General features: G+C 40.7%; 1 protein-coding gene across 5 annotated transcripts in view, besides 1 other annotated feature; it reads left to right on the forward strand.

Moving 5' to 3' along the window:
• The window catches only part of DPP6 (dipeptidyl peptidase like 6), a 1146153-nt gene that overhangs the window by 46311 nt on the left and 1073362 nt on the right, over positions 1–26480 (forward strand). The gene's annotated exons all lie outside the window — the stretch shown is intronic.
• Positions 10103–10293: a silencer, noted in NCBI's record as "fragment chr7:153501631-153501821 (GRCh37/hg19 assembly coordinates)". NCBI's record gives its function as "represses an EF-1alpha promoter that drives an FKBP-Casp9 reporter gene in an ReSE screen in phorbol 12-myristate 13-acetate-treated (for megakaryocytic differentiation) K562 erythroleukemia cells {active_cell/tissue: K562(+PMA)}" and the evidence as "EXISTENCE:reporter gene assay evidence [ECO:0000049][PMID:32094911]".

The raw sequence follows: 26480 nt of genomic DNA on the forward strand, positions 1-26480 counted from the left end.
CATTTGGAACAGCTATATTTACCCAATACTGATACCTCCATTGTATCTAGGAAGTTAACTAGCTTACTTTTGATTTTATAGGCTTACAGGCGGTAGGGACTTGTCTTGTCTCAGATGAGACTTTGGACTGTGGACTTTTGGGTTAATACTGAAATGAATTAAGACTTTGGGGGACTGTTGGGAAGGCATGATTGGTTTTGATATGTGAGGACATGAGATTTGAAAGGGCCAGGGATGGAATGATATGGTTCGGCTCTGTCCCCACCCAAATCTCAACTTGAATTGTATCTCTCAGAATTTCCATATGTTGTAGGAGGGACCCAGGAGGAGGTAATTAAATCATGGGGACTGGTGTTTCCCATGCTATTCTCATAATAGTGAATAAGTCTTGTGAGATCTGATGGGTTTATCAGGGGTTTCCACGTTTGCTTTTTCCTCATTTTCTCTCGCCGCCATCATGTAAGAAGTGCCTTTCACCTCCTGCCATGATTCTGAGGCCTCCCCAGCTATGTGGAACTATAAGTCCAATTAAACCTCCTTTTCTTCCTAGTCTTGGGTATGTCTTTATCAGCAGCGTGAAAATGGACTAATACAAGTACATTTGGAAGAGACTCAAGCAGGCACATGAAGGTCAGGTGCCCTTAAAATTTTCTTAATATTCTCTTATTACCCTTTTAATATTTATAGAATCTGGCCGGTGCAGTGGCTTACGCCTGTAATCCTAGCACTTTGGCAGGCCGAGGTGGGTGGATCACGAGGTCAGGAGATCGAGACCATCCTGGCCAACATGGTGCAACCCCGTCTCTACTAAAATACGAAAAATTAGCCAGGTGTGGTGGCACATGACTTTAGTCCCATCTACTCAGGAGGCTGAGGCAGGGGAACTGCTTGAATCCAGGAGGTGGAGGTTGCAGTGAGCTAGGATTGCGCCACTGCACTGCAGCCTGGCAACAGAGTGAGACTATCTCAAAATAAAGAAAGAAAGAATAGAATCTATAGTGATGCCACCTCTTTTATTTTTAATATTTGTAAGCTGTGTCTTACCTATTTTCTCTGCTTAGTTTGGTTAGAACTTTATTAATTTTATGGATCTTCTCAAAGAACTAGCTTTTGGTTTTATTTATTTTCTCCATTATTTTCCTAATTTCTAGTTTATTAATTTCCACCCTGAACTTTTATTTCCTTTCTTCTACTTCCTTTGATGTTAATTTGCTTTTCTTTTTCTAAGTTTCTTAAGATGGAAACCAAGATGTTGATTTGAAACCTGTGCTCTATTCTAACGTAGACATTTAATAAATTTCCTTCTAAAAATTGCTTTAAAAGACTCCCTCAAAATTAATGTGGTATGATTTTATTCTCATTCCCTTGAAAATTCTTTATAATTTTTAAATTTCTTCTTTGATTGCATTTTTTGTTTCTTCTTTGAAATATAGATTATTTAAAGGGGTATAATTTGGTTTCCAAATATTTGGATATATTCCAGCGATCTTGCTGTTATAAATGTTTAATTTATTTTCATTACAGTCATATCACATACATCCCATGACTTTAACCCTTTTAAATTTATTGAGACTTGTTTCATGGCCCAGAATTGGGTCTACTGTGGCGAGTGATCCATGCACACCTGAGAAGGATGTGTGCTCTCCTGCTGTTGGCTGGAGTTCTCTGTGATAAAAAGTCGGTCAGGTTTGTTGATCCTATTGTTCTAGTGTTCTACATCCCTGTTTACTTATTCTATCCATTATTGAGAGAGAGGTATGACAGTCTATAGCTATAATGATAGATTTTTCCATTTCTCTTTGCAGATCTATCGGTTTTTGTTTCATGTAGTTTGAAGCTCTGCTATTAAGTGCATAAACATTTAGGGTTATTATATTCTCTTGAGGGATTGACACCTATATCATTGTGAAATGATCCCTGTATCCCTGGTAATAGTATATGCTCTGAAATCTACTTTATCTGATATTAACGTGCTCCTCTGGCTCTTTTATGACCCATATTAATGTGATGTTTGGTGAATGATTTGATTTGCCCAAATTGAAGCCTGGTGTTTGTCTCCAGCTCCTGGAAGTGAACCTTTAAACCCTTGAAATGTCTTGAGTGATAGGAGTGTTTTTGTTATTTACGGTGGGTCCCTGGGACTATGCCTAGTATTTTATGCTACAAATATAATTTGTGCTAAAAATATAACACGTGGCACAAAGGCCACATGTTACCAACCTGATCTCTGGGGGTGGGTGGCCTAGAGACTGAGTTCAATGGGCCAGCAATGAAACAATCAATCATACCTACATAATGCAGCCACAGTAAAATCTCTGGTCAGCTTCCTAAGTTGGCAGTACTCCGTGTATATCATCACATGTGGATTCCAGGAGGGTAAAATACCCAGGAGCCCTGTGTGTTTCCTCAACTTGAGTGTGGACTGGGTTTAGTGACTTGCTTCTAGCAGAGAGAACGTGGCAGAGTTGAAGAGATGCCACCTTCAAAACTGGGTTACAAGAAGACTATGGCTTGTTTTGCCTCTTTCTTTTTCTCACTCATTCTAAGGGAAGCCGGCTGCCATGTTGCAAGCTGCCCTGTGGAGGGGCCCACATGACAAGGAACAATGTGTATGACACCAACTGCCAAGGGCCTGGGATCTGCCGTCAGTCACATGAGGGAACTTGAAAGTGGATCATTCCCATTTAGCTCTGAGATGACTGCATCTCTGGCTGACACTTTCATCACAGGCTTTCAAGAGACTCTGAGCCACAGGATAAAACTAAACCACACCTCGATTCTTGGCCCACAAAAACTATGGGATGTGTTAAGCTACTGAATTTGGGGGTAATTTGTTATACAATAAGAACTATCTAACAACCAGATGTAAAAAATGAAGGAAGAAGAGGAGAAGAAGAAAACGGGGAAAGTAAAGAGGGGAGGAGGAAAGGAGAAAAGGATGGAGAGTGTGGAGAAGGAGGAGGAATAGGATATTATATTAATTAAGCCTTAAGCTCAATGATGCAAAAGTTCTGACTCAGACTGGACTAAAACAAGAAAGTTCATAATATACTGTAGGAGGAAGTCAAAAACAGGAAGAATAATAAGCTCATATGATTCAATGACTCAGTTGTGTCTTTCTATTTCAATATTGGCTTCATCCTCAGCCTTCTAGCAAGCTGACTCAGCCTGAATTTCCAGTGTGTTAGCTTGGGTTGCTGTAACCAACTACCACAGACTGGTGGCTTCAACAGCAGTCATTTTTTTCCCACAGTTCTGGAAGCTGGAAAACCCAAGATCAAGGTGCCAGCAGATATGCTTCTTGGTGAATTCTTTCTTCCTGGCTTATAGGCGGCCACCTCATGTGTATCCTCATAAGGTAGAGAGAGGGAGCTCTGGTGTCCCTCCATCTTCTTCTTCTTTTTTTTCTTCCTTTTGAAATGGAGTCTCGCTCTGTCGCCCAAGCTGGAGTGCGGTGGCGAGATCTTGGCTCACTATAAGCTCCGCCTTCTGGGTTCACGCCATTCTCCTGCCTCAGGCTCCCAAGTAGCTGTAACTACAGGTGCCCGTCACCATGCCCAGCTAATTTTTTTGTATTTTTGGTAGAGACGGGGTTTCACCATGTTAGCCAGGATGGTCTTGATCTCCTGACCTCCTGATCCGCCCGCCTCGGCCTCCCAAAGTGCTGGGATTACAGGCGTGAGCCACCGTGCCCAGCCCCCTCCATCTTCTTAGAAGGGCGCTAATCCCATCATGGGAGCCTCACCTTCATGACCTCGTCTATACCTAATTACTTCCCAAAGGCCCCACTTCCCAATGCATTGAAGGTTAGGGATTCAATATACAAATTTTAGGCAGGTTTCGGGGATGCAGAAATTCAGCCCATAGCATCCAACAGCTAGACAAAGAAGAGATATTGGTTCTTTGGTTTTCCCTAGAAGAAAGAAATGTCTTCTACCATCCCCCAGCTGATTTTATTTCTTGTCCCACTGCCCAGTCCTCAGGCACATGCCAGCGGCAATCACAGGCAAAGGCTCTGAGATTCATTCAACCTACTTGGGGCTGGAGATGGGGCCCCTTCCACTGAGGCCCTTGGCTACGAGGGGATGTGGAGGACCCCTAAGTAAAATTGTGTTCCTTAAGGCAGCAGTCCCCAACATTTTTGGCACCAGGGACTGGTTTCATTGAAGATAATTGTTCCATGGACCAGACTGGTATGGAGTGGCAGGTGATGGGTTTGGGATGATTCAAGTGCATTACACTTACTGTGCACTTTATCTCTATTATTATTACATTGTAATATAAAATGAAAGAATTATACAACTCACCATAATGTAGAATCAGTGGGAGCCCTGAGCTTGTTTTCCTGCAATTAGACAGTCCCACTGGGGGGTGATGGAAGACAACAGATCTTCAGGTATTAGATTCTCATAAGGATCAGGTATTAGATTCTCATAAGGAGTGCACAGACTAGATCCCTTACACGGGTAGTTCACAACAGAGTTCCAGCTCCTATGAGAATCTAATGCCACTGCTGATCTGACAGGAGGCAGAGCTCCAGCAGTAATGTGAGCAATGGGGAGTGGCTATAAATACAGATGAAGCTTTGCTTACTTGGCCACCCCTCACCTCCTCTAGGAGGTGTGCGGCCCTAGACAAGGCCGTGGACTGGTACTGGGGGTCAAGGACCCCTGCTTTAGGGCATGAAACAGACTGATAGCTACTGGTAGCTGCCAACGGTATGAATGAAGATGTTCAATTCTTCTACAGAAAAATTCTTCACCTTCACAGTTGATGGAATGTAGTAGAAATTTCTGTTTGACTCTTCCATGGTATCTTTCAGACTCACTGATTTATCTAAATATATATATTTTTTATGGAACTAGTCAGCCATACCCATCTTCAATCTTATAAGCAAAGAAATAACTTCTAAGGAATTTGTACGATGAAGACATATTTTTGAGCTGAGTGGCTCCTAATCGCCCATTTTTCCTTGAGGGAGCATTTATTGAGTGTTTGTTGTGTGCTGGCAGTGGATTCCAGACTGAACAAAGCAGACACTGCCCCTGCTCCCGGAGAGCTTGCACCGCCTCCATGTACACACCATCCCGCTCTACTGCAGCTGTCCTGATCACCTAAGAAGTGATCATCAGATTCTACATTTTATAGCCCATAACATTTCCTCATTAATTCATTGAAGTTTAAACTTCTCATCCATGTGTGTGTAGCAAGCTTAGTTCTGCAAAAATGTTTGAAATTTGCCACTTCCTCTAAAAAAGATATTTTCTTCTGTGATCATTAATTATAATAAAATGTGTTTACACTCTTGAGACTGAATTAACTGTCTCATTCTATTATCCCAATATTTATGCATTTGTAATTTAGATAAGAATTATTAATACAATTTTACCATGAGCTGTATGAAACAGATCAAAAGTGACAGTAACAAGGCATATTATAAGAACCCTAAAGTATTCCTTTTTAGACAAAAAATAGCATATCTGGCAGAGATGCACAGAAAGGGGAATGCTAGTACACTTCTGGTGGGAAGGTAAATTAGTACAGCACAGCCACTGTGGACAACAGTATGGAGGGTTCTCAAAAACTAAAAATAGATCTGTCATATGATCCTGTAATCCCACTGCTGGGAATATATCCAAAACAAAAGAAATTGGTATGTCAAAGAGATATCTGCACACCCATTTTATTACAGCACTATTCTCAATAGTCAAGATATGGCATCAACCTAAGTGTCCATCAACAAATGAATGGATAGAGAAATACCATATATATACACACAATGGAATACTAGTTAGCCATAAAATAGAATAAAATCCTGTCATTTCCAGAAACACACATGGAACTATAGGTTGTCATGTTAGTTGAAATAAACCGGGCACAAAAAGACAAATATTGTATGGTCTCACTCATATTTAAGAGCTAAAAAAGTTCATTTCATGAAGGCAAAGAGTAGAATATTGGTTACAGACGCTGGGAATGGTGTTGAGGGGACATGAAGAGAGGTTGCTTAATGGGTGCAAAAATACAATGAGATGAGGGACTACATTCTAATGTTCAACAGCACAGTGACTACAGTTAACGAAACTTTTTTTTAATGGAATCTAACTCTGTTGTCCAGGCTGGAATGTAGCGGCACCATCTCGGCTCACTGCAACCTCCACCTCCCAGGTTCAAGCCACTCTCCTGCCTCAGCCTCCCAACTAGCTGAGACTACAGGCATGCACCACCGTGCCAGGCTAATTTTTGTATTTTTAGTAGAGACGGGGTTTCGCCATGTTGGCCAGGCTGGTCTTGAACTCCTGACCTCAAGTGATCTACCCTCCTTGGCCTCCCAAAGTGCTGGGATTACAGGCATGAGCCACAGCACCCAGCCCAGTTAACAAAACTTTATTATATATTTCAAAATAGCTGGAAGAAATGATTTGAAGTATCCCCAACACAAAGAAATGGTGTATGTTTGAGGTGATGGATATGCTAATTACCCTGATTTGATCATTACATGTTGCATGCAAGTATCAAAACATCACATGTACTTCAAGAATATATACAATTACATATCAATTTTTTAAATTATTTTCTATTGCTTAGTTTAAGCTGTTTGTAGAGCTTATGTATAAACTGCAGCAAATGCAGAAAGTCAATCAGTGGCCAATGGCACAGAACAGGCAGCACATTTCGGAATTTCAAAGCCCTGTGTGCGCTTATCTAATCACCTTAATATTTGGGTGCATCACACAATTTTTTAGACAATGTTCTAGTTTCTAATTATAAAAATCATGTGTGTTTCAGTTTTCACAGTTTCAACACCAAAGAAATGTATCTATCACTCATGAGAAGGAATCAAGGAAGTCAATTTTGGAAAGTCAAAAATGACCATCCATCCTCACAACGCAGGGCATAAATTCTATGTCAGGTCTCCTTGCACATGCTCCACGTTCCTCATTACCCTATGGGTTCTTTCAAACCTCATCAGTCCTCGACCTGTGCCTTAAAGACAGCAGGTGTACAGCGGTAGAGGGAGAGCGGGAATGGACTCTGGGTCACTGGTCAAGCTGCCCAGCTGTGCACTGCACAAGAGGGAAATCCTCAGAGTAGATTGTGTGGATGATGGCAGGAAAGGGGGCCACTCCAGCCGCTCTGCTGGGACACTGTTGAGAGCCACACAGACCCCTAAGCTATTAAGTGGCAACAGAGGAGCCTCAGAGCCTATTTGTGGTGGGAGAAGAAAGAAAAAAGAAATTGCAAGATGGCTCAAGGCAATTGCTAAACTTTTTTGGAGGACGTGGAAAACCGTGGAACTTCTCCCCAAGAAAGTACATAAACAAAAAGTCCTGCATTAAAATTCAGAGAGCCCTTGAGGCAGCTCTTGTTCTCAGACTGGCCATGGTTCATTAAAAGTTAACTGGACTCTTCTTCTCCAATACTGATTTCTCTGTTTCTAAATTTCTCACATATCTAGCACATCACTTTGTTTACAGAAAATAATTCTGCTAGGAAGTCAGGGCAAATATTGATCTCCTCATGTCTCAAACAGAGGGGAAAATTCACAGAAGCAAACTTTGGAAAGTCAAAATGAAAAGTGTAAGTGACTTGCCTGAGATCAGATGGTTATGTGGTGGCAATGCCGAGATGTTGAATTGCATTGAGCTGGAACTCAGAAAGTTTCGGTCAGGAGCAGGCACACCATGGTGCCAAATTAGCTTGGCTTTCGGAGTGGGGCACACCTAAATCTAAATGCCATTTGTGCACGTTGCCTAAGCCACCAGAAACTTTGTTTCCTTACCTCTGACAAGGGAATAACAATCTGCCACACAGGGGGCCCCAGGAGGGTTAAATGAGGTGAAAAGAAATAATAGCTCAATCCCAAAACCAGCGCTCACCTGTGCCTACTGGTGGGGAATTCTCCCTATAACGAGTCACCTTGAGCTTTATTTAAGGGGCCTTCCTTGTTGAAATACTGAAATGTTACTAAGACTTTCACACAGTAATATTTCCAAATAAGAATTCTGTCTGTATTCCAGAAATTTGAGAGATGATAAAAAAGAAGAAACAAACAAAATATTGGCTGATTTCTGAAATGAGCTCATCTCCTGGCCTGAAGTATGACATCTGATTACCCCTCTTCCAGCACAAGTTATTACACTCCTTTACTCAATTATTGATGTTGTAAAATGCACTCGAATTTTATCTCTGTGATGCTGCTGCCTCCAATTCCCTTGCCTATTCGGGAAATGCATAAGGAAATAAAATTATAATTCTTACTTCTGAAGAAAAACCTGTTTTGAAGTTTGAAACTTGTGTCACTCATTGAAAAAGAAGCCCCCTATTTTTTATTCTAAAGAACTTGGAAAGAAGCATGTTTAATGTGTCAGGGACTCCCAGTGGCTCTACTTTGAGGACACACCGAGGATCTGACCACTTTTCATCACTGTGGTGGTCTTGTCCAGCTGAAACACCCTCGCCCCAATCACTGCACAGCCTTGGAACTGGTCTGCTTCCTTCCTCGACCCTCTGATATGCTCAGCCCGGCAGGCAGGCAGGGTGGTCCTAGAAAAACATGCTTCAGATTCACTGCTGCTGTGTTCCACGTCTGTGAGAGCATGGTCTCTCATGCAGAGTAGACCTGGCCCAACAACAGCTCACAAGGCCCTGGTAACCAGCGTGCCCGCATCTCTCCCCTTCTCCACACTGGCTTGGTCCAGACACGTGGGCGTCCCAATGTTCTTCTACGATGCCAGCATACCCTAGCCTGGGATATTTATCCACTTGTCCCTGGCATATGCAAACAGTGACGGTTAACTTAATGTGTCAACCTGAGTGGGATACAGGATGCCCAGATTCAACATTATTTTGGGGTGTGTGTGTGAAGGCATTTCTAGATGGGATTAGCATTTGAATTCGTGGACTCAGTAAAGCAGAGAGCCTTCCCCAATCCATTGGGGCATCTTTCAGTCCATGGAGGCGGACTCAAATAGAACAAAAGGCAGAGGAAAGAATTCACCCCTTTCTGCCCCTGCCTACCTGCCTGAACGGGGATGCTTCACCTCATCTTCTCTAGCCCTTGGACTCGGATTCACGCCACTGTCTCCTTGGTTCTCAAGTCTTGGGACTCATACGGAATTATATCACTGGCTTTCCTGCCTCTTCAGTCTGCAGATGGCAGATTCTGGGACTTCTCAGCCTCCTAATCATGTGATTATTCCTCATAATAAATCTCCATATATATATGTGTATATATATATGTATTATATATGTAAAGATATAGATATCTCTTAGATATACAATATGTAAAATCTCCTTTTATATAAATTATATATAAACTTACATATATGGAGATATACACAAACAGATAAGGATATATATGTATATATAGAAACAGATAAATGTGTATGTGTACATACACACACACACATATATATATACACACAAGGATATATGTACCTCTCCTATTGGTTTTGTTTCTTTGAAGGACCCTAATACACAAACTCTTTATCCAGATATCTGTACTCCTTACTCCCCAAGAATTTCAAGTCTTTGCTCAAATGTTAACTTTTCAAGGAGGTCCTCCCTGTCCACCCTCTATCTGAAATTGCACTATAATCCCTAGTACTTTTTTTTTTTTTTGAGACTGAGTCTTACTCTGTTGCTCAGGCTGGAGTGCAGTGGTGTGATCTCGACTCGCTGCAACCTCCGCCTCCCTATTTCAAGCAATTCTCCTGCCTCAGCCTCGTGAGTAGCTGGAATTACAGGTGTGCACCACCACACCCAGCTAATTTGTTTGTATTTTTAGTAGAGATGAGGTTTCACCATGTTGGCCAGACTGGTCTCGAACTCCTGACCTCGGGTGATCCACCTGCCTTGGCCTCCCAAAGTGCTGAGATTACAGGCATGAGCCACAGTGCCCCACCCACTAGTACTTTTGATATCTAGCTTGCTCTACTCATGGTACCGTCATTCATCAATTTTAGTGTAGAGATAATTTTCTATATTTTAATATCTCTAGAATTAGGATGGATCTTTACAAACCCTATCGTCAGGGAAAGGTGATGATATTGTTGCCATTGCTTGTAGATATACATCAAAACCTGTAGCATGGATGTCAGAGGCTTATGAGAAAAATATTAGGATGGTGCAAAAGTAATTGAGGTTTTTGCCATTTAAAAACTTACAGCTGGACCCATTGGCTCATGCCTGTAATCCCAGCACTTTGGGAGACTGAGGTGGGTGAATCACAAGGTCAGGAGTTCGAGACCAGCCTGGCCAACATGGTGAAATCCCCTCTTTACTAAAATTAGCTGGGCGTAGTGGTGGGCACCTGTAATCCCAGCTACTCGGGAGGCTGAGGCAGGAGAATTGCTTGAACCCTGGAGGCAGAGGTTGCAGTGAGCCGAGATTGCACCATTGCACTCCAGCCTGGGCAACAGAGAGAGACTTCATCTCAGAAAAAAAAAAATTACCTTTGCACCAACCTATTAATTAAGCACTGTTAATGACATCAATCCTGACATTGTACTGGGAAAAAAATGATCTTGACTCTATTGGTGTTGAAATGTGATTCAGAAAAGCCAACCCTGGATGTGAAGACATTTCAGGAATGCAGAAACAAGTTTATTTCATTTGTATTTTCCTTTCAGCTTATTAACAAAATTGATATGTGGCAAAAATCATCAGTAGACACAAAGGGTTATTTTAATGAAATAAGGACTTAAGTAAAAATTAATATTTCAAATTTTAAGTGCCAAAATGTTGTTTCTTTTTCATTGGTATAGGAAGCAATGGTCTTTATTACAGTCAATGACATTTTAGACTTGATAAAATATAGTATATGACTGATGTATTTTGTTGTTTATAACCTGTTGACTTTGTTATTGTTAGTCCAAGGGCCCCGCAGAGAGTAAGCCTCAGGAAATAATAGCAGTTGTTGTTGTTGGAACACTCTTAGAATGCATCCAAGTCAGACGTCCCAAGGAAGGTAATCTTGGGTTAAGTTTTGAAAGAGTGGCAACGTTTGTTTAAAATACTTTCCTCCCAAGTCTTTACTATTGTGAGTAGTGCTGCAATAAACATACATGTGCATGTGTCTTTATAGCAGCATGATTTATATTCCTTTGGGTATATACCCAGTAATGGGATGGCTGGGTCAAATGGTATTTCTAGCCCAAATGTCCAACAATGATAGACTGGATTACAAAAATGTGGCACACATGCACCATGGAATACTATGCAGCCATAAAAATCATAAGTTCATGTCCTTTGTAGGGACATGGATAAAGCTGGAAACCATCATTCTCAGCAAACTACCGCAAGGACAAAAAACCAAACACTGCATGTTCTCACTCATATGTGGGAATTGAACAATGAGAACACTTGGACACAGGAAGGGGAACATCACACACTGGGGCCTGTCGTGGGGTGGGGGACTGGCGGAGGGATAGCATTAGGAGATATACCTAATGTAAATGACGAGTTACTGGGTGCAGCACACCAACATGGCACATGTATGCATATGTAACAAACCTGCATGTTGTGCACATGTACCCTAGAACTTAAAGTATAATAAAAAAAAATACATATATATATAAATACTTTCCTCCCTCGTTTCATCTGGCTGAGGGAAGATCACATATCTGACGTCAGGAAGAATGAAGTGTTTGGCAGCTCAGGACCATTTTTCATGATCAGAACATTAAGGTGCCTTTGGGGACAGGGAGAAATGAGCCCTCCCTGCCTCTGGTCACTCCTGTCCATTCAGCCAGAGTCCTGCCCTGACACCTGGCTCACTGACCACCTTATCTCCCCTTTTAAATCTTACAGAGTCTCTGTTCCCAGCTCCTCCACCATGGGACCCTCATGGAAGTCCCCTATCCAGATGTAATTTCTCTGCCTTCTCTGAATTCTAAGCACTTTATACTCCTGTAATTAATGTATAAATCATACATTAATTCATTGGTTTACTTCTTTGACAAATATCTGTAGGGTGCCTTCTCTGGGTCAGTCCCTGTTCAAGGCACCAGGAACACAGGTGAAGGAGGTACAGTGGGTGTGAGACTCAATTTCCAGCTTCAGTCTAAGCTCCTGCAATTCAGGGATGAGATTTCATATATACATTTTTCAATCCTTATATAATGCCTTCCATATAATTGGTGGCTTATAAAGGATGATGGCTTATGGTCTTTATTACTTACATGTCTCATCATTCCTGTACAACTGTAGCAAATATAAACATCAAAATGCCTCTAGATCTTCTTTTCCTCATAACATATTTTCTCCTTTCTGTCATTTTGAAAGTGTTGTATATTGATGCCCCTGGTCATTTAGGAATGCCCATTTCTCTTTGTTCTAGTGCTGTTGTGTGGGTGAAGGTTGACCTAGTTTCAGAGAAGGGGTGAGGAAAGGCAGGGGCAAAAAGAATAAAGGAAAGAGTTTCTTTTGAGTACAAATAAAAACTACCAGGGAAATCTGATTTACCAAAATGTTCTAGGGATTAGATTTGCAACTATTAAATATGATTTAACTGAAGGACCCCTCCGGCCTTTTTTATTCCCTTCTTTTTTACTAAAATTCTTTATCGAATTGCAGAATCCTTTTTCATTTGTCTCAGTAAGTAAACTTCAATAAATTATAGGTAAAATTTAGAAAACTGAAAATTCTGTTAGAGATTAGAATGCATTAATATTTCTTGCCTTAGGCTGGGTGCAGTGGCTCACACCTGTAACCCCAGCACTTTGGGAGGCTGAGGCGGGCACATCACCTGAGGTCAGGAGTTCAAGACCAGCCTGGCCAACATGGTGAAACCCCGTCTCTACTAAAAATACAAAAATTAGCCAGGCATGGTGGCAGGCCCAGCTACTTGGTAGGCTGAGGCAGGAGAATCGCTTGAACCAGGGAGGTGGAGGTTGCAGTGAGCCGAGATCGTGCCACAGCCGAGATCTGTGAGCCTGGGCCACAGAGCGAGACTCCATCTCAAACAAACAAACAAACAAACAAAAAAAAAAACAAAGACCATAGAAGCATATGAATAATATGAATAGGGTTTTGGAGATTTCACAGGACATGCAGTAAATGCAAGGCATCGTAGAAAAATAAAGTGTCCAGGGTGAGTCCCCCAAATCAGCTTGCTTCCTTGGAGATGTGCCACTCTTTCCTGAAAGTTTACAACAAAGGAAATGTCAGTTATCTGAGGTTTTGGCGGGGCTCGGGTGGAATGTTGTGATGAATTATTCCTTAAATGCCCTGAGACTGAGCATGGGTTCCAATCTGGATGTTTCCAGCTCAGCTGCAGGAGGAGGGAGAATTTAGACAGAGACGTTGTCCGCCAAAGCTAAATACCTTCCGCCTTTGCCTACTTTTCATTTCCAAACACCAGTATTGATTCCTTCCACGACGAATCGATCTTGTGGCTTGAAAGAAGCCTCTACCTGGAAGCTGTGGGGGAGGGATGAAGTGCAAGAGAAAACATCTGTTAATCTGGACAGAGGCAGCGTGGCCTGAAATGAAGACATACCAAGCCCATCCTGGGAAGAAGTGTTTCTCCAGGTGGCAGCCTGCAGGAAGCAGAGCTCCTTCTGAACAGGCTTCCCACTGGCTCCTTTCTTTTTGATATTTTTTTCCAGCTTTGTTAACGTATGACAAATAAAAATTGTGTATATTTAGGGTGAGCGATATGGTGTTTTGATAAACACATTGTGAAATGATCACCACGATCAAGCTAAGGGACATACCCATCCTAACCTTGTTGCCACTGTGTGTGTGTGTGCCTGAGTGTGTGTGCCTGAGTGTGCGTGCCTGAGTGTGCGTGTGTGCACGTGCGTGCGTGTGTGCCTGTGTGTGCGCACGTGTGTGCCTGTGTGTGTGTCTGCGCACATGTGTGCCTGTGTGTGTCTGTGTGCATATGTGTTTGCACGTGTGTGTGTGGGCATGCCTGTATGTGTGCCTGTGTGTGCGTGTGTGCCTGTGTGTGTGCCTGTATGTGTGTCTGTGTGTGTGACTGTGTGTGTGCGTGTGTGTGTGTATGTGTGATGAGAACATTTAAGATCTGCTCTCAGCAAATTCCAAGTACACAATACAGTGTTATATACATTAGATCTGCAGAGCTTATTCAGCTTCTATCTGAAAGGTTGTAACCTTTGACCAAGATCACCCGTCCTCAACTACTGTTCTACTCTATTTCTATGAGTCCACCTTTTTAGATTTCACAAGTAAGTAAGATCATGCAGTGTTTATCTTTCTGTGCCTGGGTTATTTCACTTGGTATAATGTTCGTATTCTTGTAAATAGCAGGATTTCATTCTTTTTTTAAAGCTGAATAACATTTCATTTGATAGTTACTACAATTTCTTCATCTATCAATGGATTCTTAAGTTGCATCTGTATCTTGATTATTGTGAATAATAGTGCAGTGAGCATGGGAGTGCAGTTATCTCTTTGAGATAATGATTTCATTTTATTTTTTAACGTACACCCAGAAGTGGAATTGCTAGATCATATGGCAGTTCTATTTTGATTTTTATTTTTTTGTGGAACCTCCATACTACTTTCCATAATGACTATAACAATTTGCAGTCCCACCAACAGCATGCAGTTTTTCCCTTTTCTTCACGTCCCCACCAACACTCATTATATTTTGATCTTTTAATAATAAACATCCTAACGGGTGAAGTGATGTCACATTGCAGTTTTGATTTGCGTTTCCCTGATGATTAGTGGTGCTGAGCACCTTAATATACACCTGTTGCATCTCCGTATGTCTTCTTTGGAAGAAATGTCTATTCAGGCCCTTTGCCTATTGTTTTACTTGGGTTATTTGATTCTTTACTATTGAGTTGTAGGAGTTCCTTCTTCTCTTTGGATATTAATTCTCTGCTTTTCAGTGCCTTAAAGTTTCTGTGTCCCCACCCCTACCACGTGTTAGCCTTTGCTCAGTTCTACATCATGTCTGCTCATCCCTGTGACCCAGCGCTGTGCCTAGCATGGACAGATGCTCAAAGCGGGATTGATGACTGAATGGATAGACAAATGTGGCTTGATGTTTTCCCGCAAGCAGTTCGTAGTCTTGTGAATGCTCAGTGGTAACACTTCCGTAATTCCTCCCCATTCTACTCTTCATCTATGCTTCCTACCTAGAATGTTTGAGTTGGAGGAGCTTGCAGCCCTTTCCTTGGTGCAGTGTTGGTGGAACTCAGGAAATTGTAGTTCCTAAAGATAATGTGATCACCTAAATATAATGACTTGCTGGTAGAGAGCATGGAGCAGCACCAGAAAGCCTGTGTTCTAACCTTGGATCTGTTTCCTGCTGAGGGTATGTATGAGCTCCACGAAGTTGCCCAACATCTCTGAGCCTCACTTTCTCACATCTCCCAGTTGGGTGATTATTCCTCTGCACTCTCTTCTCAGGGTTGTTACAAGGGTCACATGAGTTAATTGATGTGAGAACTTTCAAATAAAGTGTAGAAATTATTCATGTGTTAGGGATCATTATTTTTCAGCCTATTCTCTCCCAAGGAGTATCTTTGTATCTTAGCAGAAGTCTCCAGTGCCTTAAAGAAGCTACCATTAGAAGGAATCCAGGCAGAGTCCTGAAGAACACGTTTTGGATCCTGATGAGTCTTCAGGTCACTGTTTTGACAACATCATGCTGCAGTTTTAGGCAAAGTTCACCGACTTGATGCCATAAAAGCGAGTTTGCATGACATAAGCTGGACAAGTACCATGCTTCTCATCTCACAGCTGTGAAGCCTTGTCCACGTGTTTTTTGTATTTCAGAGAACAACTGAAATATCACCATCATTTCACAGCAGCTCATTTCTGGTGTTGACACATGACTCATAGGGTTTTAGAGTTGGAAAAGAACTGATAGGTGGTAAGACTTACGATGTATGATTAACCAACCCCTCAGTGAACCATGAAGTTTTTAATAAAACATATAAAATACTAGACAGGAATAAACCTTCATCCTTTACAGTATTACTGATACACAGTGAGAAAACTCAAATACCTGGAGCGAAAGGAATGGGATGACATTGGTGTAAGAGGCACTGGGAGGAAATAGTCAAATATGTATGTTACTACATTAAATAGGAATTAGAGGAGGGAAGAATCATTTGCCTAACTAGTGTTTCTTCCAAAATCAATGGAAATTTAAATTGAATGATATTTTTCTCAGTTTTTCTTTTCTTCTACTTGTTTTCTCTCCTAAATAATCCAAATCGCTCCCTCTCCTCTCTCTCTCCTCTCTCTCTCTCTCTCTCTCTCTCTCTCTCTCTCTCTCTCTCAGTAAGCACCAGGATACCTATTCTATGGCACATGCTTGATAGTTCTTGCTAAGATACTCAAGTCTTAAGTCCTAATCAACTTTCATTTTTATTTCATCAAGAGTTTAAACATTAATTTAGTGATAATGATAGAATGGTAGGAAATTGGTCCCATAGCCTCAGAACAAATCACACCATATAAATGTGTCTATCATATTCAAGATTACTTTCTTTTGATGAACTGTTCTATTAGTGCATAGTTTAAACACATGGCCAGCCTATGCTTTAACCAGTACTGGAATTTAACACACAGCGGCAAACAGGAATCTTGCTTAACTTGACTTGGACTGTTGCTCAGCGCCTGCTGCTGACCCTCTGGTGAGAATGCAATAACCCAGAATGACGGATGAGTCAGGGAGGCTGGACAGCAGATTGTCCAGAACAGTATGTAATTCCCATGAGAGGGAAGGCTGTGGAGACCAGCTCACCCACCTCACTGACTCCCTGCAAGGCCCGAGTTAAAGGATGCTCCACAATTCCCTCTCCATTCCAGAATGACATTTCATTCTGATCAATGTCCTCTTACTAGGTTGACTTTTACTCTCTCAAATGCGCTGTTTAAAATACAAGTTGCTCTGGAATATGGCCCATTAAATGAATTACTGGGGCAGAGCATTTTTCCCTGCATTAGAGAACCAAGGCAGCCCAATGAGAATTGGTGCCTAGGAGGATGCAGAGTGAGGAGGAATGAGCAGAGAGGGGAGGGCAGGACACATCAACATCCAAAATTTGAGTCGTCCACTTCATGATCTCCTTTTTGGGGTTTGCTTGTCACTTCTTCAGGGACCCTCTGCCAGTCGAAGGCATTGTGTCCACCCTCTCTGGAAGGCTGCCTGTGAGGAATGACAGGAGATGAGACCACAGAGGCACAGGACACTAGAAGTCAGAGAAACTTTTGAGACCATGAGTCTCAATTCCTCATTTTACAGACCCAGATATTACAGCTCTGCTCTTAAAGTCACAAAACTTATGTAAACGTTGTGTGTTTTGCTGAGCTAGATGAAGACCATTTTGAGGCCTTATGCACCTGCTGTGTTTTTGGTGGGACTCTCTCCTGTCCCCAGGCTAAGATTCTTTACATGAATTCTCAAATTCCACAGATGATGAGATTTTATAGCATCTTCCAGTGTTGGGTTTGGTTTTTGTTATTTTGAATGAGCGTGCTGACTGTAGGAAATGATGAACTCAAGTGGCAGTTGAGATCAGAGGGACTGAAAACAAAGTCAAGTGTAACAGGATGCTGCTTTGGTGGTGTTTTTACCGCCCAAATGCACAGCCCGGATCCACACACCTTGACTTCATCTCTGTTCCCCATTTATTTTCCACCGGATCTCCGTGGGCACTTTTTTCTCCTCTTTCATCTTTTCCTCTACTCAGAAAAGTGCTTATAAAAGAGCAACGGTGATATTGCTTCTATTTGTCTTCTTGAAGGAAACTGGTTTACCCTGACCCTCTCTCGTGCATTTCCAGCCAGGTCGATTCTTCTTAGGCCTGTGTTTGTCTACGCTCACCTTTTAACATTTGGGCCAGGGGAGGGACAGGATCCTTAAAACATGATACCTATTTCCACATCTGAGGAAATGTAAATAGGTTGTTGTAGATTTTCTTAATATCATTTTTGTACCAATTCCTCACCCAGGCAATTCACTACAACCTTGAAACTCAGCATGTTTCTGGGTATTCTGTCTGGTATCTGAAGACTCTCCGAACCCAGTTCTGCATGTGGCTAAATTACAAACTCAGAGGAGCAGCTTCCAAATACGAGAATTTTCTGGGTGGTGATTTAGTCAACATGTAAATGCTAAGCTCTGATTGGAATAGGAAAAGCCCCCTCAAAAATTTATTTTTCAGAATGAATGAGTCAAAGCTCTACGACTTCCTGTCTGCTGGACACAAAACCAGAAAGCCTGATTCAACAGAGAAAGTGGCTGAGGTCAAGGCTGCAAGGACTAATTTAGGATTGGGATTCTTGCTCTTGACTCAGGCATTGAAGTAGCCTCACAGAGAAATAATACATTCCAGAAATGCCTTGGTTTCTGTGATCTCCATCTAGACCAACAAATCGCCCTATGTAATCAGCCTACAGTGCATCTCAAGAAAGTACAATATAAATGGAAATATACAACCTACTGAGACCAAAACAAAGATTTATTTTAAAAAAAGAGACGTCTTTACATGCATCACTAGATTTTAACGGTAATGAAGATGGGTCATTGAGGGTATAAAACGCTGGAATCCTGCATCAGAGTGCCTGGTGAGGAAATTTTTTTTTATTATTATTATACTTTAAGTTTTAGGGTACATGTGCACAATGTGCAGGCTAGTTACATATGTATACATGTGCCATGCTGGTGTGCTGCACCCATTAACTCGTCATTTAGCATTAGGTATATCTCCTAAAGCTATCCCTCCCCCTTCCCCCATCCCCCCACCCTGCAACAGTCCCCAGAGTGTGATGTTCCCCTTCCTGTGTCCATGCGTTCTCATTGTTCAGTTCCCACCTATGAGTGAGAATATGCAGTGTTTGGTTTTCTGTTCTTGCGATAGTTTACTGAGAATGATGATTTCCAATTTCATCCATGTCCCTACAAAGGACATGAACTCATCATTTTTATGGCTGCATAGTATTCCATGGTATATATGTGCCACATTTTCTTAATCCAGTCTATCATTGTTGGACACTTGGGTTGGTTCCAAGTCTTTGCTATTGTGAATAGTGCCGCAATAAACATACGTGTGCATGTGTCTTTATAGCAGCATGATTTATAGTCGTCTGGGTATATACCCAGTAATGGGATGGCTGGGTCAAATGGTATTTCTAGTTCTAGATCCCTGAGGAATCGCCACACTGACTTCCACAAGGGTTGAACTAGTTTACAGTCCCACCAACAGTGTAAAAGTGTTCCTATTTCTTCACATCCTCTCCAGCACCTGTTGTTTCCTGACTTTTTAATGATTGCCATTCTAACTGGTGTGAGATGGTATCTCATTGTGGTTTTGATTTGCATTTCTCTGATGGCCAGTGATGGTGAGCATTTTTTCATGTGTTTTTTGGCTGCATAAATGTCTTCTTTTGAGAAGTGTCTGTTCATGTCCTTCGCCCACTTTTTGATGGGGTTGTTTGTTTTTTTCTTGTAAATTTGAGTTCATTGTAGATTCTGGATATTAGCCCTTTGTCAGATGAGTAGGTTGAGAAAATTTTCTCCCATTCTGTAGGTTGCCTGTTCACTCTGATGGTAGTTTCTTTTGCTGTGCAGAAGCTGTTTAGTTTAATTAGATCCCATTTGTCAATTTTGGCTTTTGTTGCCATTGCTTTTGGTGTTTTAGACATGAAGTCCTTGCCCATGCCTATGTCCTGAATGGTAATGCCTAGGGTTTCTTCTAGGGTTTTTATGGTTTTAGGTCTAATGTTTAAGTCTTTAATCCAAGGACCAACAAAATTGATAGACCACTAGCAAGACTAATAAAGAAGAAAAGAGAGAAGAATCAAATAGATGCAATAAAAAATGATAAAGGGGATATCACCACCCATCCCACAGAAATACAAACTACCATCAGAGAATACTACAAACACCTCTATGCAAATAAACTACAAAATCTAGAAGAAATGGATAAATTCCTCAACACATACACCCTCCCAAGACTCTAAACCAGGAAGAAGTTGACTCTCTGAATACACCAATAACAGGCTCTGAAATTGTGGCAATAATCAATAGCTTACCAACCAAAAAGAGTCCAGGACCAGATGGATTCACAGCTGAATTCTACCAGAGGTACAAGGAGGAACTGGTACCATTCCTTCTGAAACTATTCCAATCAATAGAAAAAGAGGGAATCCTCCCTAATTCATTTTATGAGGCCAGCATCATCCTGATACCAAAGCCGGGCAGAGACACAACCAAAAAGGAGAATTTTAGACCAATATCCTTGATGAACATTGATGCAAAAATCCTCAATAAAATACTGGCAAAACGAATCCAGCAGCACATCAAAAAGCTTATCCACCATGATCAAGTCGGCTTCATCCCTGGGATGCAAGGCTGGTTCAATATACGCAAATCAATAAATGTAATCCAGCATATAAACAGAACCAAAGACAGAAACCACATGATTATCTCAATAGATGCAGAAAAGGCCTTTGACAAAATTCAACAATGCTTCATGCTAAAAACTCTCAATAAATTAGGTATTGATGGGACGTATCTCAAAATAATAAGAGCTATCTATGACAAACCCACAGCCAGTATCATACTGAATGGACAAAAACTGGAAGCATTCCCTTTGAAAACTGGCACAAGACAGGGATGGCCTCTCTCACCACTCCTATTCAACATAGTGTTGGAAGTTCTGGCCAGGGCAATTAGGCAGGAGAAGGAAATAAAGGGTATTCAATTAGGAAAAGAGGAAGTCAAATTGTTCCTGTTTGCAAATGACATGATCGTATATCTAGAAAACCCCATTGTTTCAGCCCAAAATCTCCTTAAACTGATAAGCAACTTCAGCAAAGTCTCAGGATACAAAATCAATGTACAAAAATCACAAGCATTCTTATACACCAGTAACAGACAAACATATAAACGCTGGAATCCTGCATCAGAGTGCCTGGTGAGGAAATTTTTTTTTTATTAGTATACTTTAAGTTTTAGGGTACATGTGCACAATGTGCAGGTTAGTTACATATGTATACATGTGCCATGTTGGTGTGCTGCACCCATTAACTCGTCATTTAGCATTAGGTATATCTCCTAAAGCTATCCCTCCCCCGTCCCCCCACCCCACAGCAGTCCCCAGAGTGTGGCGTTCCCCTTCCTGTGTCCATGTGTTCTCATTGTTAGCCTCTCTGACATGAAAATCCTGAAGCATCCCAGTGGTACTTCAACAGAAGAGGTGACACAAACTCCCAAGAAGTTAGTCCTTTGTCAGAAAAAGATAACCTTGTACAGCTTCCCTAAAACAAATTCAGACAGAGATCTGGTCATCAACACTCCTGTTTAAACTTGCAAAGCCATCATCTCTGTATTGTGAGTTATCTGTGTTTCATTATAACCGAAGTTCATCTGCACAAATTGGCATTCTAAATTGTTACTTGTTATTCTGCACATTTTATGATGAGATAGTTACAGAAATAAATTAATATAAATTAAGAGAATATCACAAATTAGTAGAATAAGGAATGGCCAATGTTTGTCAAGAAGCTAGCTAAGGTTTCCAATGTCATTTATTATATAAATTAATATTCTCACCACATATCATACCCCAATCTCAGATGTATTTAAGTAGCTAAATAGAAAAATAGAAAAAAGAAAATATTGTGTGTTATAGAAACTAAGAAAAATAGAAAAAAGATAATACTGTATAATAGAAGCTAAGAAAATGGAGATAAATAATTATTATCTCAACAAAAATATCATCATTAGAATAAAAGCAATAAAAGCCAAAAAATAATTAGAAGGAAAATATTTATAGTTTTACTGTATAATAAACATACACTTAAATATAAAGCAGAAATAAAAGGAAAACAAGATCTGGTAAAATATTTGCAACAAATTTCCTATGTTAATATATATATTTAGTATGTTAGGAGATCAAACAAATTAAAAAATCAGGCAAAATACATAGTGAAGATGTCCTAAAAACCAAAAGCAAGTTTGAAATCAGTATTAATTGTTGCTCTCCTATTTGTAACAGTGAAAAATTGGAAGTAACTGTTTCCCTTATGATTAAATATTGACAACAGCATGCAAATTGATAATTTACATAATATTTAAGAGGAAGGACAAAGCAGATATAATTAAATCCCCTCTCTTCCTTTAAAATGATTGAAATAAGAGTAAAGAAACCCAAAAGGAACTATGTTTATATGACACTGAAAAGCAAAGGAGGAAGCCACAGACCAAGATTTTGACAAATTTCTGCAAGACAGAAGGAAGACAGGATCACATTAATAAACATATCCCAGTAGAGGAATCCATGGCTCAGAGCACAGGTGAGACCCATTTACTAGGAATGCACTCACTCCCCTAACACCCCTCTGCATGGAGCAGCTACACAGAGAAATGAGATTTGACACTAAGAGGGTGATTTGTGGAACGGATGCAAGGCAACTCTTACCAAGCCTCTCTCCCCGTCTCCCAACTGTAGAGCTGAGAACATAGCCTCAATCTCAGAAGGTGGCATCAAGACCAGCGGGAGAGAAAGAACTAGTCAACAAGCGATGCTAAATAATTCAGGATGCATGGCTTACCCATATGGGGAAACATAAAATTCTTGCCAAATTCCAGGGGTTCAGTCTAGCTTCCACTGCTCACCAGGGCGTGGAAAACCAATCCCTGAGATGAGTATTGCCAGGGAGGAAGGTTTCATTTGGATGACGCCAGCCAGAGAGATTGGAGCAAAACCTCAAATCTGTTTCTTCTTCCTGCCTCCAACTAAATTTAGGGGTGTATATAGCAGGGAAGGAAAATGGGGCTGGGAGGGCAAGAAAGAAGAGTTGGTCACCAGGCAGCAGGTGCATTTCATTGTACAAATCATAAGTTTATCAAGCTTCAGTTCTGTGGGCATGTGGCTTGTTAGAAAATCAGGCTACTTTCAAAAGTAGTCATTTTTCTCAGTATACACATATAAAATCCACATGAATTAAAGATGTAAATGTGGAAAACAAACCTAAAGCTTTTTGCAAATATATAAACAAATACCTTTATAACCTCATTGGGAAGGGAAGGATTTCACACACATGACACAAACATCACAAACTGCACACAGAAAAGATAAAAGTCACTGTATTGCATTTAAAAACGCTAGTTCATCCACATATGCCATGGAATACTATGCAGCCATCAAAAGGATGAGTTCATTTCCTTTGTAGGAACATGGATGAAGCTGGAAACCATTATTCTGAGCAAAATATCGCAAGGACAAAACCAAACACCACATGTTCTCACTCATAGGTGGGAATTGAACAATGAGAACACTTGGACACAGGGTGGGGAACATCACACACCAGGGCCTGTCGTGGGGTGGGGGGAGGGGGGAGGGATAGCATTAGGAGATATACCTAATGCTAAATGACAAGTTAATGGGTGCAGCACACCAACATGGCACATGTATACATATGTAATAAACCTGCACATTGTGCACACGAACCCTAGAACTTAAAGTATAATAATAATTAAAAAAAACACTAGTGCATCAAAAGAAATCTTTTCAAGTGGAGGTGGGGGAGGGTGAGTTACATATGGGGAGAAGATATTCTCAGCCCATAGAACAAAAGTTTGTCCATCCAGAATACCTAAAATATACTACAAATCAGTGAGGAAAAGATGAACAAACAAGTAGAAAAATAGGCAAATGATGTAATCCAGCAATTCAAAGAGAGAAAGTCCAAATGGCCAATGCATATATATATATATATTCTCAAACTTTATTCGTAACCAAGAAAGTGCATATTAAAACTGAAGAGAGACATCGTTTTATGCCCATCACGGTGGCAAAAGTGGCAGCATGTGACACTGTGATGGGCTGGAGACAGCGGCGGTGGCAGCTGTCACACATAGCTGGATTAAGCCCTGGAAATTTGATGAGGGGGCAATGCCAGCACTAGATATAGAATTCATTTACATATTAAAACATATATAAAAGAATGTTTGCTGCAGCATTGTTTGTAAAAGTAAACATTTAGGTACCATTTATAAATGCATTAGTGGAAGGATGGATAATAAATTGTAGGATGATATTATAGACTACTACCCAGTGGCAGGGAAAAGCTACAGCTATCAGTGAATTAACAACACAAAATTAGGTTGCAAGATATATTGTATGGTGCCATTTATGAATTGTAAAAATGTAAAACAATGACACATTTATCTAGCCAGATGTAGGTTAAGATAGCCAAAGCCAGTTTTTAAATAAGTGGGCATAATAAACACTGAGTTTAGGCTGGTGGTGAGCTCTGGGCAGGGAGGGAAGAAAAAGCAAGTAGATTGAAGTGGGCAAGATTTGTGACTTTTTCTTTTTCCCGAGACAGTGTCTTGCTCTGTCGCCCAGGCTGGAGTCCAGTGGTGTGATCCCAGCTCACTGCAACCTCTGCCTCCCGGGTGCAAGCGATTCTCCTGCCTCAGCCTCCCAAGTAGCTGGGATTACAGGTGCATGCCACCACGCTTGGCTAATTTTTGTATTTTTAGTAGAGATGGGGTTTCACCACGTTGGCAAGGCTGGTCTCGAACTCCTGACCTCGTGATCCGCCCTCATCAGCCTCCCAAATTGCTGGGATTACAGGCATGAGCCACCGCGCCTGGCCTTTTTTTTTTTTTTCCCCTTTTCTTTTCTTTTTTTTTTTTTTTTAACTTTTAAGCTCAGAGGTGCATGTGCAGGTTTGTTATATAGGTAAAGGGTAAACTCATGTCATGAGGGTTTGTTGTACAGATTATTTTATTACCCAGGTATGAAGCCTAGTACCCATTAGCTGTTTTCCCCATTGTCTCCTTCCCATTCTCCGCCCTCTGGCAGGCTTCAGTGTGTGTTGTTCCCCTCTATGTGTCCTGTGTTCTCATCCTTTAGCTCCCACTTATAAGTGAGGATATGCATTTCTTAAAAGAATGTTACACTACTGTTGGGATATTTTTCTAAGTCTGCTTTTTTTTAATCATCCAGAAGGTGTCAACCAAAAACTTCCTGGTAATAACCAGTACTCCTATTCCTGCCTGAGTGGCTTTCCTGTGACTGGACTGAAACGTCCTGCAGCTGTGGTTGAACGAGGGTGACAGCCAAGTTTGCATGGCACACACATCATGACTGCTGCCTGACCCACAGACACCACACAGTACAGGCTTGTTTCAGAGATGCCAAATGTGGGGAAAATGCATCTTAAAAGTCACAGAAGTAAATGTAGTTTATTAATAAATGTAATAATGAATAAATGATTAATTATTTCATTTATAAGGAGGACGGATGAAAGAAAGAGAATATAAATGCATTTATTACCACTGAACTGTATATGTAAAAATGGTAAAGATGGTAAATTATATATGCATATTTTATCTCTATTTAAAAAATCACTGAAATAAATGTAGTTTGATCAGTATTTGTTTCAGGAATATTTCTGCAGCTTTTTTGTTTGTTTTTGCTTATAATTTTTGGCCTCTTTTTCTTCTTTATATTTTGCTTTTATTCTCCTGTTGTTGGTATAAAAAGATAATTCATCCAATCTTAAAGCTAGGAACATTTTTCTTCAAATGGCAAAAGTTTAGTAATATAAAATTACATCTTCTTTGTGGCTATAATCACGTTACTTAGTTCTTCAGGGAATGATATTTTCATATGCCTAATATTTTAAATGTTTTTAATTGATTTTCAGTTTCCCAAGGAAGGAGAATCTCCTTTCCAAAGAGGTTCCTTTGTGATTTTGGAACAGAAAGTCAATAGTACAAGCCTCAACATTACAAGAGGCATGGTAGGTTTTCTGTTGGAAGGTACTGGAGACAGATGTAGGATACACTGCATTTTTCATTTTACAAATGGGTAGCAAGAGATGCTGTGTAAAATTGATGGGTACATTACTTAAGGTTCTTCCAGCTGCTATAGCAAATAAACCCTGTAATCTCAATCTTTTAAGAAAATAGTAGTTTCTTTCTCAATTGCTCAAAATAAAATTTATTTTATTACAATAAAATACATCAGTTATTTAGCAGAGGCCTTCAGAATGCTGAATCAAGAACCCAGGTCCCTCCACCTTGAACATCCATCATCTCTGAAGATTCAAGAATAGTTTAATTCCAACTTTAGAATGGGAGAGAACCAGAGAGTTCTCAGAAGGCATCCCCGGATGTTTTGAAGGCCAGGCCTGAACCTAGCACATACTTCTGCCATATTCCAGTAGCTAGAACGTAGTCACATAGCAAAGGAGGCCAAGAAATGTGGAATAGCTGAAGAGCAGCCGAAAAAAGAAAATCAGTTTGGTGGATAATGAGCAAGTTTCTTCCAAAATGGATTAAAAAACAGTGTTTTAAATTCATTAGTAAAGTGATAATGTCAATTTGAAAAGATGATACAGGAAAAATTGGTAAGAAAAGGAGAAAAGAACAATTGATTGTGGAAGTTAGTGGAACTCTTTGTCTTACAGCTGAGAGGTGATGGATTGTGTTTGAACTGGGGAAATAAGGAAGTGGATCTGTG

This window comes from Homo sapiens, chromosome 7 (assembly GCF_000001405.40).
Source record: "Homo sapiens chromosome 7, GRCh38.p14 Primary Assembly".
Lineage (NCBI taxonomy): Eukaryota > Metazoa > Chordata > Mammalia > Primates > Hominidae > Homo > Homo sapiens.